This window comes from Homo sapiens, chromosome 2 (genome assembly GCF_000001405.40).
Source record: "Homo sapiens chromosome 2, GRCh38.p14 Primary Assembly".
Lineage (NCBI taxonomy): Eukaryota > Metazoa > Chordata > Mammalia > Primates > Hominidae > Homo > Homo sapiens.
The window spans coordinates 84,497,656-84,517,714 of NC_000002.12; the positions used below are offsets into that span (position 1 = coordinate 84,497,656).

The 20,059-nt window shown below is 38.0% G+C and overlaps 1 protein-coding gene across 9 annotated transcripts in view; it reads left to right on the plus strand.

The window, feature by feature from the left end:
- The window catches only part of DNAH6 (dynein axonemal heavy chain 6), a 360,018-nt gene that overhangs the window by 38,084 nt on the left and 301,875 nt on the right, over positions 1-20,059 (plus strand). For 6 of the 9 annotated variants that reach the window (NM_001370.2, XM_011532653.2, XM_011532652.2 and 3 more), the window contains exon 1: positions 18,843-18,928. The exons of 2 other annotated variants lie outside the window; for them this stretch is intronic. The gene's annotated coding sequence lies outside the window, so the exon portion shown is untranslated. Of the gene's footprint in view, positions 1-18,842; positions 19,170-20,059 lie in introns of those variants that run through there. One more of the 9 variants, XM_006711956.3, reaches the window with a different exon arrangement.

Genomic DNA, 20,059 nt, shown 5'->3' on the forward strand with positions numbered 1-20,059 from the left:
AAAACAGTAAAAACAAGTTGGCAAATTGGATTTTTATAAGCTCAGAACATTAGTATGATAACATATTTTTATGAGTAGGCATACTGTAATTTAGCAACAAAATCATTATTGAATAACCAAAGGCCTAACATTAGGATGAAAATAAGCAGAAAGGAACCAGGTAAGAGTATTAAGGCATCTGGGCAAACTGGCAATAGATGGCATTAGAATTGCAGCCACAGACCCAAAAGTGATCCCTGAAAAGCAACATGGCCTCCAGATCTCAGCTTGTCCCTACCCTTTGGCATATTGCCCACATCCCTAGAAGAGGTCTTGGCCCTTCCCAGCCCTTCCGTTCTCCACCATGAGCTCTGGGCCATGTACACTATGTACAGCAAGGTCCTTCCAGACAAGATAGGTTTCTGTACCTAAACTTCCATAGGGCCACCAATCAGGTACTGCAGAAAACCAAACAACTTGTCCTGAATCTCTGTGCTTCATTCTGTACTTCCCAAAGGTCTTGCAGAGACTAGATACTACAGCTGGGATATTTTCCCAATCCCTCTTCCATGAATCTGTAGGCTAAGGGACCAAGGAGTCTCATGCTAGGTCACACCAGTTATGACACTAATAGAGTTCTCAAACTCACTTTTTTGGCAGCATGTCTAGACATCACCCTGTCTTTAGACTCTCAGCCTTACTCTTCAGAGCACCTGGCCCTGATGTATTGCTTATTCAGAGCAGGCTCAAAAAGGCTTCTTGGTGTGCATAAAGCCCTAGTATTTGTTTGAATCATTTTACATTTGCTTCATCAAAAAATTCTAAATCTAAAGCTTTTTTTGTTTTTAGAATAGAAACCTGCTCAAGTAAAAAAAAAAAAATTTGAGAAGTTGGGTTTCTTTTAAAACTGAGTAATTTAGTGAGGTTGTGGAAAACACCCAGATTCAAGCCAAAGGCCTCCTGCTTCTAAAGTGACAGTGAGCAGAATTCAAAAGCAGCAAAAATAAGCAAGAGCACACTGCATTTTGTACTGCTCAGACCCAGAGTCCCATCTCAGCACCTGCCCTGCTATTCATGTGCTACTTTTTTTTTTTTAAATAGCACCACAGCCTCAGACATGGGGTTCACATTCCTCTTATTTGGTGGCTGTCACCCCTCACTGTCCCTTAGGTTTTTCCTTACTGACTGGGTTAGCTGTCAAATGGTAAAGTCTCTTATCTTTCATCTTCCCAATTGTCACCAAAGAGAGGCACACATCCATTTGCTGTTTTTAAATTTTTTTAATGTTGTGGGTGCATTGTAGGTACTTATATTTATGGGGTACATGAGATGTTTTGACACAGGGATGCAATGGGAATAAGCACTTCATGGAGAATGGAGTATCCATCCCCTCAAGCATTTGCAAACAATCCAATTTACACTCTACAAATTATTTTAAAATGTACAATTAAGTTATTACTGATTATAGTCACCCTGTTGTGCTATCAAATAGTGGGTCTTATTCATTCTTTCTATTTTTTGGTACCCATTAACCATCCCCACCTCCCCACAAACCCCCCACTACCCTTCCCAGTCTCTGGTAACCATCCTTCTACTCTGTGTATCCATGAGTTCAATTGTTTTGATTTTCAGATCCCATAAATAAGTGAGAACATGCAATGTTTGTCTTTCTGTGCCTGGCTTATTTCACTTAACATAATGATTTCAGTTCTACCCATGTTGTTGCAAATGACTGGATCTCATTCTTTTTATGGCTAAATAGTACTCCATTGTGTATGCATACCACATTTTCTTTATCCATTCATCTGTTGATGGACACTTAGGTTGCTTCCACATCTTATCTATTGTAAACAGTGCTGGAACAAACATAGGAGTACAGATATCTCTTCAATATACTGATTTCCTTTCTTTTGGATATATCCAGCAGTGGGATTGCTGGAGCATATGTTAGCTCAATTTTTAGTTTTTTGAGGAACCTCCAAACAGTTCTCCATAGTGGTTGTACTAATTTGGATTCCCGCCATCACTGTACAAGGGTTCCCTTTTCTCCACATCCCCCAGAGTTTGTTATTGCCTATCTTTGGGATATAAGCCATTTTCACTGGGGTGAAATGACATCTCATAGTAGTTTTGATTTACATTGATGATCAAGGATGTGGAACACCTTTTCATATGCCTGTTTGACATTTGTGCATCTTCTTTTGAGAAATGTCTATTCAAACCTTTTGCCCATTTTTTTGATCAGGTTATTAGTTTTTTTTTTTTTCCAATAGAGTTGTTTTAGTTCCTTATATATTCCGGTTAGTAATCTTGTCAAATGGGTAGTTTGCAACCATTCTGTGAGTTGTCTCTTCACTTTGTTATCGTACCCTTTGCTGTGCAGAAGCTTTTTAACTTGATGTGATCCCATTTGTCCATGTTTGCTTTGGTTGCCTGCGCTTGTGGGGTATTGCTCAAGAAATGTTTTTTCCGAGACCAATGTCCTGGAGATTTTCCCCAATGCTTTCTCATAGCAGTTTCATAGTCTGAAGTCTTAGATGTAGCTCTCTAATCCATTTTTATTTGATTTTTGTATATGGTGAGAGATGGGGGTCTAGTCTCATTATTCTGCATATGAATATCCAGTTTTTCCAGCATCATTTATTGAAGAGATTGTCTTTCCCCAGTGTATGTTCTTGGCATCTTTGTCCAAAATGAGTTCACTATAGGTGTGTGGATTTGTTTCTGGGTTCTCTATTCTGTTCCATCGTCTATGTGTTTGTTTTTATGCCAGTACCATGCTGTTATGGTTACTATAGCTCTGTAGTATAAACTGAAGTCAGGTAATGTGATTCCTCAAGTTTTGCTCTTTTTGCTCAGGATAGCTTTGGCTACTCTGGGTCTTTTTATGGTTCCAGATAAATTTTAGGATTGTCTTTTCTATTTCTGTGAAGAATGTCATTGATAATTTGATAGGGATTCCATTGAAACTGTAGCTTACTTTAGGTAGTATAGATATTTTAACAATATTGATTCTTCCAATCCATGAACATGGAATATTTTTCCATTTTTTGGTGTCCTCTTCAACTTCTTTCATCAGTGTTTCATACTTTTCATTATAGAAATCTTTCAGTGGTTTGGTTAATTCCTAGGGAATTAATTTATTTGTGGCTATTATAAATGAGATTACTTTTTAATTTCTTTTTCAGATTGTTCACTGTTGGCATATAGAAATTCTACTGATTTTTGTATGTTGATTTTTGTATCCTGCAACTTTACTGAATTTGGTTATCAGTACTAATAGTTTTTTTGTGGAGTCTTTACATTTTTTCATATATAAGATCATACTGTCTGCAAAGAAGGATAATTTGACTTATTCCTTTCCAATTTGGATGTCTTTTATGTCTTTCTCTTGTCTGATTGCTCTAGCTAAGACTTCCAGTACTATGCTGAATAACAGTGAGAAAAGTTGGCATCCTTGTCATGTTCCAGATCATAGAGGAAAGGCTTTTGATTTTTTCCCAATCATTATGACACTAGCTATGGGTCTGTCATTTATGGTTTTTATTATGTTGAGATAGTTCATTCTATCCCCAGTTTTTTGAGGGGTTTTATCATGAAGGGATGTTGAATTTTATCAAATGCTTTTTCAGCATCAATTGAAATGATCATATGGTTGTGTCCTTTCTTCTGTTGATATGGTGTATCACATTGATTCATTTGCATATGTTGGGTCATCCGTGCATCCCAAGGATAAGTCCCACTTGGTTGTAATGAATGATCTTTCTAATGTATTGTTGAATTTAGTTTGCTAGTATTTTACTGAGGATTTCTTACATCAAAATTTATCAGCAATATTAGCCTGTAGTTTTCTTTTTTTAAAATGGGTCTTTCTCTGGTTTTGGTATCAGTGTAATACTGGCCTTGCAGAATGGGTTTGGAAGTATTCCGTCCTTTCCTAGTTTTTGGAATAGTTTGAGTAGGATTGGGATTAGTTCTTCTTTAAAAGTTTGGTAAAATTCAGCAGTGAAGCCTTCAGGTCCTGGGTTTTTCTTTACTGGGAGACTTCTTATTATGACTTTGATCTCATTACTTGTTATTGGTCTGTTCAGGTTTTGGATTTCTTTCTGGTTCAATCTTGGTAGGTTGTAAGTGTCTAGAAATTTGTTCATTTTTCTACATTTTCCAATTTATTGGCATGTAATTGGTCATAGCAGCCACTAATGATCCTTTGAATTTCTGCAGTATCAGTTGTAATGTCACCTTTTTTTATTTCTGATCTTACTTATTGGGATCTTCTCTCTTTTTTCTTCATTACTCTGGCTAAAATTTGTCACTTTTGTTTAACTTTTCAAAAAACCAACTTTTTGTTTCATTGGTCTTTTCTATTGTCTTCTTCGTTACAATTTCATTTATTTCTGCTCTGATCTATATTATTTTTCTTCTACTAATTTTGGATTTGGCTTACTCTTGATTTTCCAGTTCTTTAAGAAGCATCATTAGATTGTTTATTTGAAGTTCTTCTTTTTTCATGTAGGCACTTATAGCTATAAACGTCCCTCTTGGTACCGCTTTTGCTGTATCCCATAGGGTTTGGTATATTGTGTTTTCATTATGATTTGCTCAAGAAATTTTTCAATCTTCTTCTTAATTTCTTCATTGACTCCTGGTCATTCGGAGCGTATTGTTTACTTTCCACCTATTTGTATAGGTCCAAAATTCCTCCTGTTATTAATTTCTAATTTTATTCCTTTGTGGTCAGAGAAGATACTTGATATTATTTCAATTTTAAAAATGTTTTCAGGCTTGTCTTGTGACCTAACATATCGGCTTTCCCTGAGAATAATTCATGTGCTGAGGAAAAGAATGTGCATTCTGTAGCCATTGGATGAAATGTTCTGTATTTATCTATTAGATCCATTTGCTCTATAATGCAGATTAAGTCTGATGTTTCTTTGTTGATTTTCTGTCTGGAAGATCTGTCCAATGTCGAAATAGGGTGTTGGAGTCTCCAGCTATTATTGTATTGGAGCCTATCCTAGCTCTAACAGTATTTGCTTTATATGCATTGGGTGCATATATATTTATAATTGTTATATTTTCTTGCTGAATTGACCCGTTTATCATTATATACTGACCTTCCTTGTCTCTTATAGTTTCAGTCTTGAAATCTATTTTGTGTGATGTAAGTATAGCAACTGCTGCTCTTTTTTTGTTTCTATAGGCATGGAATATCTGTTTTCATCCCTTTATTTTTCATCTATGTGTGTCTTTACAGGGAATATGTGTTTCTTATAAGCAATGGATCAATGGGTCATGTTTTTCCTTCATTCAGCCAGTCTATGTCTTTTGATTGGAGAGTTAAGTTTATTTACATTCAATGTTATTATTTAGAACTAAGCACTTACTCCTGCCATTTTGTTATTTGCTTTCTGGTTGTTTTGTGGTCTTCCCTTCCTTCTTTCTTTCCTGTCTTCCAGTAGTAAAGGTGATTTTCCTTGGTGATATTACTTAGTTTTGTGTGTGTGTGTGTGTCTTCGTTGTATGTTTTTGGTTTGAGATCACCATGAGGCTTGCAAATACTGTTTTATATGTTATGTTAACCTGATAACAACTTAACACTGTTTGCATAAACAAACAAAGGAAGAGAAAACTAATAAAAACTCTATGCTTTAACTTCATCCCCCAAATTTTAAACTTTTTGTTGTTTCTAGATATATCTTATTGTACCGTGTCTTGAAATGTTGCTGCAGTTACTATTTTTGTTATTGTTTCATCATTTAGTCTTTATACTTAGGACAAGAGTACAAGAGTCATTTACACACCACAGTTACAGTGTTATAATATTCTGATTTTTTGTGACTTACCAGTGAGTTTGTAGCTTCAGGTGATCATTTATTGCTCACTAATGTTGTTTCTTTTCTGACTGAAGTATTCCCCTCAGCATTTCTTGTAGGACAGGTCTGGTGATGATGAAATCCCTCGGCTTTCATTTTTTTAGGAAAGGCTTTATTTCTCTTTCGTGTTTGATGGTGGATATTTTCACCAGACAAACTATTCTAGGGTAAAAGTTTTTTTTTTTTTTCTTCAACACTTTAAATGTCATGCCACTCTCTCCTGGCCTGTAAGTTTTCCATGGAAAAGTCTCCTGGCAGATGTATTGAAGCTCCATTGTATGTTATTTGTTTCTTTACTGTTGTTGCTTTTAGGATCCTTTCTTTATCCTTGACCTTTGGGAGTTTGATTATTAAATGCCTTGAGATAGTCTTCTTTGGATTAACTCTGCTAGGTGTACTGTAACATTCTTGTACTTGGATATTGATGTCTTTCTCTAAGTTTGGGAAATTCTCTGTTATTATCTCTTTGAATACATTTTCTACCCATATCTCTTTCTCCACATCCTCTTTTAGGCCAATAACTGTTAGAGTTGCCTTTTGGGGACTATTTTTTAGATCCTGTAGGCATACTTGTTTTTTGTTATTTTTTTCTTTTGTCTCCTCTGACCGTGTATTTTCAAATACCCTGTCTTCAAGCTCACTAATTCCTTCCTTTGCTTGATCAATTCTAATATTAAAGGACTCTAATGCATTCTTCAGTATGTCAGTTGCATTTTTCAGCACCAGAATTTCTGCTTGATTCTTTTTAATTATTTCAATCTCTTTGTTAAATGTATCTGATAGAATTCTGAATTCTTTCTCTCTGTTATCTTGAATTTCTTTGAGTTTCCTCAACACAGCTATTTTGAATTCTCTGTCTGAAAGGTCACTATCTTTGTTTCTCAAGGATTGGTTTCTGGTGCCTTATTTAGTTCATTTACTGAGGTCGTGTTTTCCTGGATGGTGTTGATGCTAGTACGTGTTCTTCAGTGTCTGGAAATTGAAGAATTAGGTATTTATTGTAGTCTTCACTGTTGGGGCTTGTTTGTAGCTATCCTTCTTCAAAAGGCTTTCCAGATATTTGAAAGGACTTGGGTGTTGTAATCTAAGCTGTGTCTGCTTGAGGGAGCACCCCAAGCCCAGTAACACTGTGGTTTTTGCAGACTCATAGAGGTACCTCCTTGATGGACTTGGTTAATATCCAGAAGAATTCTATTATATTCATCTATATGTCTATTCTTATTACATTACCACACTGTTTTGATAATTGTAGCTTTGTAGTAAGTTTTCAAATGGGAAAATGTGAGTGCTGCAACTTTGTTTTTCCTTTTCAATATTGTTTGGGCTACTTAAGGCCCCTTGCAATTCCATGTGAATTTTAGGATTAGCTTGTCAACTTTTATAAAAGACAGTTGTAGTTTGGACAGGGATTGTATTGAATCTGTACATCAATTTGGGGAGTATTGCCATCTTAATAATAGTAAGTTTTCAGATTCATGAACACATGATGCCTTGCCATTTACATAGGTCTTAAATTTCTTTCAGCAATGTTTTTCAGTTTTCAGCATGAGTCTTGCATGTCTTTGATTCAATTTATTTCTACATATTTTATCATTTGCAATGCTATTATACATGGAATTGTTTTCTTTTTCATTTTTTGATTGTCCATTGCAAGTACATAGGAATACAACTGATTTTTGTGGGTTGATCATGTATCCTGTGACTTTGTTAATCTCATTTATTAGTTCTAATCATATTTTGTCAATTCTTTAAGATTTTTATATAAGATAATTTGATCTATGAATACAGATAGTTTTACTTCTTCCTTTCCAACCTGGATACATTTTATCTCCTTTTCTTGACTAATTTCCCTGGTTTGAAATTTCAGTACAATATCAAATTGAAGTGGCAAGATCAGACATACTTACTTTATTTCTAATCTTAGCAGGAAAGTTTTCAGGCTTTCAGCATGGAGTATGATGTTAGCTATGGGTTTTTCATATGCCCTTCATCAGGTTGAAGACGTTTTCTTCTATTCCTAGTTTGTTTAATGTTTTTATTTTTTTAAGTTCTTTTTTTATTATTATACTTTAAGTTTTAAGGTACATGTGCACAACATGCAGGTTAGTTACATATGTATACATGTGCCATGTTGGTGTGCTGCACCATTAACTTGTCATTTAACATTAGGTATATCTCCTAATGCTATCCCTCCCCACTCCCTCCACCCCACAACAGGCCCCGGTGTGTTATGTTCCCCTTCCTGTGTCCGTGTGTTCTCATTGTTCAATTCCCACCTATGAGTTAGAACATGCGGTGTTTGTTTTTTTGTCCTTGCAATAGTTTGCTGAGAATGATGGTTTCCAGCTTCATCCATGTCCCTACAAAGGACATGAAATCATCATCTTTTATGGCTGCATAGTATTCCATGGTGTGTATGTGCCACATTTTCTTAATCCAGTCAATCATTGTTGGACATTTGGGTTGGTTCCAAGTCTTTGCTATTGTGAATAGTGCCGCAATAAACATACATATGCATGTGTCTTTATAGCAGCATGATTTATAATCCTTTGGGTATATACCCAGTAATGGGATTGCTGGGACAAATAGTATTTCTAGTTCTAGATCCCTGAGGAATCACCACACTGTCTTCCACAATGGTTGAACTAGTTTGCAGTCCCACCAACAGTGTAAAAGTGTTCAAGTGTTCCTATTTCTCCACATCCTCTCCAGCACCTGTTGTTTCCTGACTTTTTAAAGATTGCCATTCTAACTGGTGTGAGATGGTATCTCATTGTGGTTTTGATTTGCATTTCTCTGATGGCCAGTGATGGTGAGCATTTTTTCGTGTGTTTTTTGGCTGCATAAATGTCTTCTTTTGAGAAGTATCTGTTCATATCCTTTGCCCACTTTTTTGATGGGGTTGTTTGTTTTTTTCTTGTAAATTTGTTTGAGTTCATTGTAGATTCTGTATATTAGCCCTATGTCAGACGAGTAGATTGCAAAAATTTTCTCCTATTCTGTAGGTTGCCTGTTCACTCTGATGGTGGTTTCTTTTGCTGTGCAGAAGCTCTTTAGTTTACTTAGATCTCATTTGTCAATTTTGGCTTTTGTTGCCATTGCTTTTGGTGTTTTAGTCATGAAGTCCTTGCCCATGCCTATGTCCTGAATGGTATTGCCTAGGTTTTCTTCTAGAGTTTTTATGGCTTTAGTTTAACATGTAAGTCTTTAACCATCTTGAATTAATTTTTGTATAAGGTGTAAGGAAGGGATCCAGTTTCAGCTTTCTACATATGGCTAGCCAGTTTTCCCAGCACCATTTATTAAATAGGGAATCCTTTCCCCATTGCTTGTTTTTCTCAGGTTTGTCAAAGATCAGATAGTTGTAGATATGTGGCATTATTTCTGAGGGCTCTGTTCTGTTCCATTGGTCTATATCTCTGTTTTGGTACCAGTACCATGCTGTTTTGGTTACTGTAGCCTTGTAGTGTAGTTTGAAGTCAGGTAGCGTGATGCCTCCAGCTTTGTTCTTTGGCTTAGGGTTGACTTGGCACTGCAGGCTCTTTTTTGGTTCCATATGAACTTTAAAGTAGTTTTTTCCAATTCTGTGAAGAAAGTCATTGGTAGCTTGATGGGGATGGCATTGAATCTATAAATTACCTTGGGCAGTATGGCCATTTTCACAATATTGATTCTTCCTACCCATGAGCATGGAATGTTCTTCCATTTGTTTGTATCCTCTTTTATTTCATTGAGCAGTGGTTTGTAGTTCTTCTTAAAGAGGTCCTTCACGTCCCCTGTAAGTTGGATTCCTAGGTATTTTATTCTCTTTGAAGCAATTGTGAATGGGAGTTCACTCAAGATTTGGCTCTCTGTTTGTCTGTTATTGGTGTATAAGAATGCTTGTGATTTTTCCACATTGATTTTGTAACCTGAGACTTTGCTGAAGTTGCCTATCAGCTTAAGGAGATTTTGGGCTGAGACGATGGGGTTTTCTAGATATACAGTCATGTCATCTGCAAACAGGGACAATTTGACTTCCTCTTTTCCTAATTGAATACCCTTTATTTCTTTCTCCTGCCTGATTGCCCTGGCCAGAACTTCCAACACTATGTTGAATAGGAGTGGTGAGAGAGGGCATCCCTGTCTTGTGCCAGTTTTCAAAGGGAATGCTTCCAGTTTTTGCCCATTCAGTATGATATTGGCTGTGGTTTTGTCATAGATAGCTCTTATTATTTTGAGATACGTCCCATCAATACCTAATTTATTGAGAGTTTTTAGCATGAAGCATTGTTGAATGTTGTCAAAGGCCTTTTCTGCATCTGTTGAGATAATCATGTGGTTTTTGTCTTTGGTTCTGTTTATATGCTGGATTACATTTATTGATTTGCATATTCTGAACTAGCCTTGCATCCCAGGGATGAAGCCCACTTGATCGTGGTGGATAAGCTTTTTGATGTGCTGCTGGATTTGGTTTGCCAGTATTTCATTGAGGATTTTTGCATCGATGTTCATCAGGGATATTGGTCTAAAATTCTCTTTTTTGGTTGTGTCTCTGCCAGGCTTTGGTATCAGGATGATACTGGCCTCATAAAATGAGTTAGGGAGGATTCCCTCTTTTTCTATTGATTGGAGTTGTTTCAGAAGGAATGGTACCAGCTCCTCCTTGTACCTCTAGTAGAATTCGGCTGTGAATCCGTCTGGTCCTGGACTTTTTTTGGTTGGTAAGCTATTAATTATTGCCTTAATTTCAGATCCTGTTATTGGTCTATTCAGAGATTCAACTTCCTCCAGGTTTAGTCTTGGGAGAGTGTATGTGTCGAGGAATTTATCCATTTCTTCTAGATTTTCTAGTTTATTTGCGTAGAGGTGTTTATAGTATTCTCTGATGGCAGTTTGTATATCTGTGGGATTGGTGGTGATATCCCCTTTATCATTTTTTATTGCGTCTATTTGATTCTTTTCTCTTTTCTTCTTTATTAGTCTTGCTAGCGGCCTATGAATTTTGTTGATCTTTTCAAAAAACCAGCTCCAGGATTCATTGATTTTTTGAAGGGTTTTTATGTCTTTATTTCCTTTAGTTCTGCTCTGATCTTAGTTATTTCTTGCCTTCTGCTAGCTTTTGAATGTGTTTGCTCTTGCTTCTCTAGTTCTTTTAATTGTGATGTTAGGGTGTCAATTTTAGATCTTTCCTGCTTTCTCTTATGGGCATTTAGTGCTATAAATTTCCCTCTACACACTGCTTTGAATGTGTCCCAGAGATTCTGGTACGTTGTGTCTTTGTTCTCGTTGGTTTCAAACAACATCTTTATTTCTGCCTTCATTTCGTTATGTACCCAGTAAGTCATTCAGGAGCAGGTTGTTCAGTTTCCATGTAGTTGAGCAGTTTTGAGTGGGTTTCTTAATCCTGAGTTCTAGTTTGATTGCACTGTGGTCTGAGAGACAGTTTCTTATAATTTCTGTTCTTTTACATTTGCTGAGGAGTGCTTTACTTCCTACTATGTGGTCAATTTTGGAATAAGTGCAGTGTGGCACTGAGAAGAATGTATATTCTGTTGATTTGGGGTGGAGAGTTCTGTAGATGTCTATTAGGTCCACTTGGTGCAGAGCTGAGTTCAATTCCTGGATATCCTTGTTAACTTTCTGTCTCGTTCATCTGTCTAATGTTGAAAATGGGGTGCTAAAGTCTCCCTTTATTATTGTGTGGGAGTCTAAGTCTCTTTCTAGGTCTCTAAGGACTTGCTTTATGAATCTGGGTGCTCCTGTATTGGGTGCATATACAGGATATGCACTTTAGGATAGTTAGCTCTTCTTGTTGAATTGATCCCTTTACCATTATGTAATGGCCTTGTCTCTTTTGATACTTGTTGGTTTAAAGTCTGTTTTATCAGAGACTAGGAGTGCAACCCCTGCCTTTTTTTGTTTTCCATTTGCTTGGTAGATCTTCCTCCATCCCTTTATTTTGAACCTATGTGTGTCTCTTCACGTGAGATGGGTCTCCTGAATACAGCACACTGATGGGTCTTGACTCTTTATCCAATTTGGCAGTCTGTGTCTTTTAATTGGAGCATTTATCCCATTTACATTTAAGGTTAATATTGTTATGTGTGAATTTGATCCTGTCATTATGATGTTAGCTGGTTATTTTGCTCTTTAGTTGATGCAGTTTCTTCCTAGCCTCGATGGTCTTTACAATTTGGCATGTCTTTGCAGTGGCTGGTACCGGTTGTTCCTTTCTATGTTTAGTGCTTCCTTCAGGAGCTCTTTTAGGGCAGGCCTGGTGGTGACAAAATCTCTCAGCATTTGCTTGTCTGTAAAGTATTTTATTTCTCATTCACTTATGAAGCTTAGTTTGGCTGGATATGAAATTCTGGGTTGAAAATTCTTTTCTTTAAGAATGTTGAATATTGGCCCCCACTCTCTTCTGCCTTGTAGAGTTTCTGCTGAGAGATTAGCTGTTAGTCTGATGGGCTTCCCTTTGTGCGTAACCCGACCTTTCTCTCTGGCTGCCCTTAACATTTTTTCCTTCATTTCAACTTTGGTGAATCTGACAATTATATGTCTTGGAGTTGCTCTTCTCAAGGAGTATCTTTGTGGTGTTCTCTGTATTTCCTGAATTTGAATGTTGGCCTGCCTTGCTAGATTGGGGAAGTTTTCCTGGATAATATCCTGCAGAGTGTTTTCCAACTTGGTTCCATTCTCCCTGTCACTTTCAGGTACAAAAATCAGACGTAGATTTGGTCTTTTCACATAGTCCCATATTTCTTGGAGGCTTTGTTCGTTTCTTTTTATTCTTTTTTCTCTAAACTTCTCTTCTCGCTTCATTTCATTCATTTGATCTTCCATCACTGATACCCTTTCTTCCAGTTGAGTGAATCGGCTACTGAGGCTTGTGCATTCGTCACGTAGTTCTCGTGCCTTGGTTTTCAGCTCCATCAGGTCCTTTAAGGACTTCTCTGCATTGGTTATTTAGTTAGCCATTCGTGTAATTTTTTTTCAATGTTTTTAACTTCTTTGCCATGGGTTCGAACTTCCTCCTTTAGCTCGGAGTAGTTTGATCGTCTGAAGCCTTCTTCTCTCAACTCGTCAAAGTCATTCTCCATCCAGCTTTGTTCCATTGCTGGTGAGGATCTGCGTTCCTTTGGAGGAGGAGAGGCGCTCTGATTTTTAGAGTTTCCAGTTTTTCTGCTCTGTTTTTTCCCCATCTTTGTGGTTTTATCTACCTTTGGTCTTTGATGATGGTGACATACAGATGGGGTTTTGGTGTGGATGTCCTTTCTGCTTGTTAGTTTTCCTTCTAACAGTCAGGACCCTCAGCTGCAGGTCTGTTGAAGTTTGCTGGAGGTCTACTGCAGACCCTGTTTGCCTGGGTATCAGCAGCAGAGGCTGCAGAACAGCAGATATTGGTAAACAGCAAATGTTGCTGCCTGATCATTCCACTGGAAGTTTTGTCTCAGAGGAGTACCCGGCCGTGTGAGGTGTCAGTCCGCCCCTACTTGGGGGTGCCTCCCAGTTGGGCTACTCGGGGGTCAGGGACCCACTTGAGGAGGCAGTCTGTCCATTGTCAGATCGCCAGCTGTGTGCTGGGAGAACCACTATTCTCTTCAAAGCTGTCAGACAGGGACATTTAAGTCTGCAGAGGATTCTGCTGCCTTTTGTTTGGCTGTGCCCTCCCCCAGAGGTGGAGTCTACAGAGGCAGGCAGGCCTCCTTGAACTGCGGTGGGCTCCACCCAGTTCGAGCTTCCTGGCTGCTTTGTTTACGTACTCAAGCTTCGGCAATGGCGGGCGCCCCTCCCCCAGCCTCACTGCTGCCTTGCAGTTTGATCTCAGACTGCTGTGCTAGCAATGAGTGAGGCTCCATGGGCATAGGACTCTCCAAGCCATGCGCGGGATATAATCTCCTGGTGTGCCGTTTGCTAAGACTGTTGGAAAAGCACAGTATTAGGGTGGGAGTGACCCAATTTTCCAGGTGCCGTCCATCACCCCTTTCTTTGACTAGGAAAGGGAATTCCCTGACCCCTTGTGCTTCCCGGGTGAGGCGATGCCTCGCCCTGCTTCGGCTCACTCTCGGTGCGCTGCACCCACTGTCCTACACCCACTTTCTGACACTCCCCAGTGAGACGAACCCAGTACCTCAGTTGGAAATGCAGAAATCACCTGTCTTCTGTATCGCTCACGCTGGGAGCTATAGACTGGAGCTGTTCCTATTCCTTGTTTAATGTTTTTATAATGAAAGAGTGATGGATTTTTATCAGATGCTTTTTCCTGCATATATTGAGTTGATCATGCTGTCTTTTTTCCCTCTTCTTCTGTTAATATGATGTATTACATTTATGATTTTTTTATGTTGAAATACTTTTACATTCCTGTGATGAATCATACTTACCCATGGTGTATAATCCTTTGAATATACTGCTGGATTCAGTTTGCTAGTATTTCTGATTTTATTTCATGTGGTCAGAAAAGATATTTTGTATGATTGCAGAATTTTAAAATGTATTGAGACTTGTTTTGTGACCTAACACATGGTCTTTCCCAGAGAATGTTTCATGTGCCCTTGAAAAGAAAGTGTTTTCTGTTTTTTTGGGGGGTGGGACATTTTATAGATGTTTTTCAGGCGTGTTTGTTTTATAGTGTTTCTCAATTATTCTATTTCCTTATTAATCTTTTCTATAGTCCCTTAGTCAATTTGGTGTGACTATAATGGAATACATAACACAGGCTGGATAATTCATAAAGAACAAAGAGTTATTTCTTACAGTTCTGGAGGCTGGGAAGTCCAAAGTTGAGAGGCCAGTGGCATCTGGTAAGGGACCTCATGTTGCATTCCCCCATGATGGAAGATGGAAGGGCAAGAGAATATATGAGAGAACAAGAGAGGGTCCAACTCACTTTTATAACAAGCCTTCTCAATAACTACCCTACTCCCAAGAAAACGACATGAATCCATTCATGAGGTCTCTGCATTACGTCTCCATTTTGACCTAATCACCTCTTATTAGGCCCCACCTCTCAACACTGTTGCATTGAGGATTAATTTTCCAACATATGAACTTCAGGGGACACATTCAAACCATAGCAATGGTTTTTCTATCATTACTGAAAGCTAGAATCTTCAACTGCTGTTGTTGAATTGTCTATTTCTCCCTTCGATTCTGTTGGTTATTACTTCATATGTTTTGGGACTGTGTTTTTAGGTGAACATATGTTTTAATTGTTCTAGCTTCTTGATGGATTGACTCTTTTCATAACCTTTATCTCTCATCACAATTTTTGTCTTAAAGTCTATTTTGTTTAATATTAGCATAGCCACTGCCACTTTCTTTTGCTTACAGTATGCATGAAATATCTTTTTTCCTTTATTTTAACCTATCCTGTTTTTGAATCTAAAGTATGTCTCTTATAGACAATGTGTATTTGAGTCATGTTTTTTATTCATTCTGCCTTTTAACTGATAGGTTTAATCAATTTCCATTTAATGTAATTACTGATGAGGAAGGACTTACTTTTGACATTTTGTATTTGTTTTCTATATGTTATTTTTCAATTCTTTCACTATTGCCTTCTTTTGTATGAGGTAGATTTTTTTAAGTGTACCATTTTGGTTCACTTTTTATCTATTTTTTTTTAGTTATTTTCTTAGTGGTTGCCCTGTGATTACAATTAACATCTTAATTTATAATTAATTAAGTTTTTCTTCCTGTAAGTGGACCATACTTTCTTTGTTTGCATGTCTCATACTTTTGGTTGAAAATTGGATATTGGATATGTTGAATATTATAATATGGTAACTCGGGAAATCAGATTCTCCTGCCTTCTAAGAATTTGTTGTTTCTGCCTGTTGTAGGTTGTATTTGTTTGTTGCTGACTTTTGTAAACTATTATTTAAAGACTGTATGCTTTGTCACATGTGGTTACTGAAATCTCTAAAGTCACTGAAGTCTTACAACTTTTGTGGAAGGATGGACTTTTAGAGTTCCTTACTCTACCATTTTTGCTAATGTTATTCCCATAATTACTTTTAAATTTTATATTGTCATTATCCTTGAACATTTCATAAATATTTTATGTATTCTATATTTAAGAGTTCTAATATATAATGTGTTTGCCTTTTAAGTCTTGTTTATTCTGCTAACTCTTGTTTGGAGTGGCTTGTTTTCTTGTATGCTTGGGTTTTTTTTAATTGTAAATTTATATTTGGCTGAAACTAACTTGTGAGAATTCTAAGGACTCAGAGTTGATGATGCCTTTCTCTTCATGGGTATTTCCTAGTAGCTTGCATTTTTTTCCCCAGACCACATAGGTAGTGTAAATGAAAAACCCAGAACTAGTTTTGTCTATACTCCTAAATTCCTGGGGGAGACTATTATATTTTTAACAATTTTTTCCCACCTGGATCTACAGGTAGAAATATGCTGGTTTTCCTGTAGGTTTTTGTCACTGCCAGTTTTTTCCTAGTCCAACCTATTACTGAGGGGATAATTCTTCCAACAGTCTCAGATGTGTGTGGCAACTGTAGTTTGCTCTTCCATTTTGTGTAGACTCAAGCAAGGCCTAGTCTTCCATTTCTCCTCAGCATTAATCCCTGAAGCTATATGTTCTTTGTATAGGCATTTGTACCCACAGCACCCACAGCTTCCATGTTATTTATTGCTCTGGTTTCATCTGATTATTATTTTGACACTTGAGGATTCCCTTATTTCTGTGAGCCCTGCTATACTCCACTATATATCCAGAAGCAGAATTCTATGATTCAATAATCTTGGGCTCAAATTCATATAGAAATTTAAGTTGATGGATCTGGATTTGTATCTCAGCTCTGCCACTTACTACCTCTGAAGTGACTTGGGAAAGTCACACAACCTCTTTAAGCCTCAATTTCCTATCTGTGGAATAGGTATAATAATACCTCTAACATAAGGTTATTGCAATGATTAGTGGAATAGCACCCATCACAAATGGCCTGGTATATAAATCTTAACCTAATGCTAAAAAAATTTTAACTGCATTTCCTTTTACTATTAAAGATGTGAACTTGTGAGTAACCATTTGTAACCTACTTCTTTAGCTGTGAAATGGGAATTTCATGTTTGTTAGCAGTACTTAAGAAAATGAATGGGAAATATAAAGCACAGTACTTGGCACATAAGAAACAACCAATGAAATGTAACAATTATCTATAAGAACTATAAAAATAGCAGGCTATACACAAAGCTGCTACATTGATTTAGTAAGTGGTCAGTTGATAATGAAGATAACATCTTGCCACATTAAAAAATAAGCTTGGAGAGATTTGATGAGTAGTGTTTCATATAGTAATATCTTTGTAAAACTATGTCTGTGTCTTCCAATCCTCCCACCCCCACTTCACCACAGTCACACACACACACACACACACACACACACACACTTCTTAGCTTTTGGAATGCTTTCAGCTGCACATGGTAACAGTTGTGTACAATCCACCTTAATCTAAAAAAGGGAGTCTAGGATTGAGGAGCAATAGATTTGTCTCCATTGCATAAACTTTGAAGGGAACAGATTAAAATTTTCACTGCACATCTGAAATGAAATCTATTCTGAGGATGTGTCTAACATTGCTTGTTATTATAACTTTATGCTTCGATGTACTGAGTTGGCTTTGAATTTCTTTTTCCATTATTAGTTTATATCAATGATTGCATTTTACTAGCTGACTAGTTTTGTGTGTATTTTTCATCTCTGGGGAATTAATCTTTATTTTGTCTACATTTGAAGTTTTTCAGAATTTTTAAAATTTTTTCTAAACTGACTTTACTCTCTTGCTGTTTCCAGTTTCTCATTAGGGATTGGGAGATCTGCATTCTAGTTTTGTCTGTGGCACAACTAGCTGCCTGACCTGGAGTAAAGCACTTGCTTTCTCTGGGCTTCAGTTCCCTTACAAATCAAATAGGGGAGTTGGACTATGTGACCTGTAATCTCCATTTTAGCTCTATCTGTGATTTAGAGAATCATACTACCATATCAAATACATAACTGAATATGTTAAGATTGAGAAGATGCAGGCTGTGAGTACAATAATGTAAAGAACTTCACATAGAGCAAGAAACAAATATCAAGGTAACAAAGAGCAACCGAAAAGAGCAAAAGAAAATGATGATTATGTCATTTTGGAGACAAGGTTGAAAACCAGAGCTCCTCCATGTGGTGTAAGGATTCATCAAGACAGGTGAAAGGATTTCTTCCCCTGATCAGTAACTGGGATAAGGCATCCCGAGTAAGCAACAGGCCCTGGCCTTCGATGGGGTCGCTCCATACAAAATTAGCAACAGTCACTTGGGAACTTAAGTGAGATTAAACGCCAGAATAAGATCCAGGGTCTGCTTTGGTAGAAGGGGCACGGGAACCAAGTAATACGGGCTCATCCTATGCCTGACACCTAGGTTACCTTCCAAGTGGAAAAGGACATTAGTTGGAAGGCCACAGTGGAGTTTAAGGGAAGAGGAGGCCACATTTCTTGAGCCTTAAGACACTCGGGAGGAGGTTGGCGGGTAGGGCAGGGATGCAGAGTGGTTGCTTCCTTGGAGAGTGGGACCTCATTTGTCTACACAACCCACATTCCTCTCCTGAAATTCTCGACTCTTTCGGATAAATTTCTATTAAAGTGAACGTCAAGTCAGTCTTACGCCTCTTGAAGGAAAACAGAAAAGAAATTCCTGTAAGAGGTTGAGATGGGTGTGAGTGGTCGATAAGCAACGAAGCAAACAGAATTAACCACCTCCTTTGGCTGCTCTGCCTACACCTCCTGGCACAGTACTCAATTCCCAGCGCAGAGGAGGAACCAGGCTGTGCGGCTTCTCCAACAATCAGCGAAGTAGGAAATGTTTCGGAGACACTAATTGGCTCGATTGCCTGGCGCGCTCCTGGACCGAAAGCTGTGGCTGGTTGAGGCGTTGCCTGGCGACGTGTTACTCAGTGGCGCAGTGCTTCCGTAGAGGCCAGCTGGTTGCTACGCAGCAACAGGAAACATTCCGCGCTACCGAGTACTTTCTACTCCCGACCAGGCATTGCTCTCTCTGGAGACCCTCGGCGGTGGTTGCTGTATTTTGACTTGGTGAGTCCTGGGAACCGACCCTCGGGCCTGGGCTCCGATTTCTGGGCCAGAAACAAAGTCTGACTTTCGGAGAACATAAAGGCTCAAAGAGGCAGAGAAAATCAATGGAAAGGCATTTCAGTGATTGTCTGCTATCCGCCCATCATTTTAGAGGGGTGGAAAGTGAGCAATAGCGATATCAAAAGACTTGTCCAAGATCTCACGCTGAGTGGTCAAATCTGGACCTGCGCTGTTAAATACGGTAATCTTTAGACCTCGTGTGGCTAGTCTGAATTGCAATGTGCTCATATGTAAAAAGCACACTGGATTTTGAAGGCGTGGTACCAAAAGACAACATAAGATATCACTATAATTTTTATACTGTGTGTTCAAATGATTATGTTTTGTATATGGTAAATAAAACATATTATTAAAATTAATCTCACCTATTTCTTTTTTAAAAATGCTATTGCTTGAAAATTAAAATTGCATACAAAGCTCTCATATTTCTATTGGCCAGCACTGATCTATATAAAACCTAGGTCTGCCGACACCTGATTCAAGACCTCTTGTGCTAACCCTATTTTGGAAGGTGTTTCGAAGTATCTCCACTCATCTAATGGGGTGAAAGTGTGCGTGGTGGTGCAGAGTGCAAGACCATTACAAAAGGCTCATATTTCTAGTGTTTTAGGACCTTGCTACTCAAAGTGTATGAATCAGAACCTTCATTTTAACAAGCTCTGCAAGTGATTGTCCTGCACGTTAAAGCTCCAGAAGCACTGTGTAAGAAATTAGCCCTCAATTCTTTTTTTTCCCTTTGTTTCTTCTTGAGTACCTATACTGTATTTTTCAGACTGCGTGTACTAGAATTAGCTGCATTTTGAACAAGTTCCGCAGGAGATGAGAAACATTGATCTCAATACTAATTACATTTCCTTTTGTCCTTCCAAATCTAGACCAGTGTGGTCTCCAGATGAGCAGCAGCAGCAGCATCCGCCAAGAACTTGCAAGAAATGCAAATTCCTGGGTTCCACCCTAGCTACAGGGGTTCTTGAAGCCTAGGCACAGTTTCTAATTTTTTATTCCTTTGGTTCAAGTCCTCAGTTCGGGAAGACTGGGGTAACTTTGATGGGTTTTATTTGAGGGAAGTGA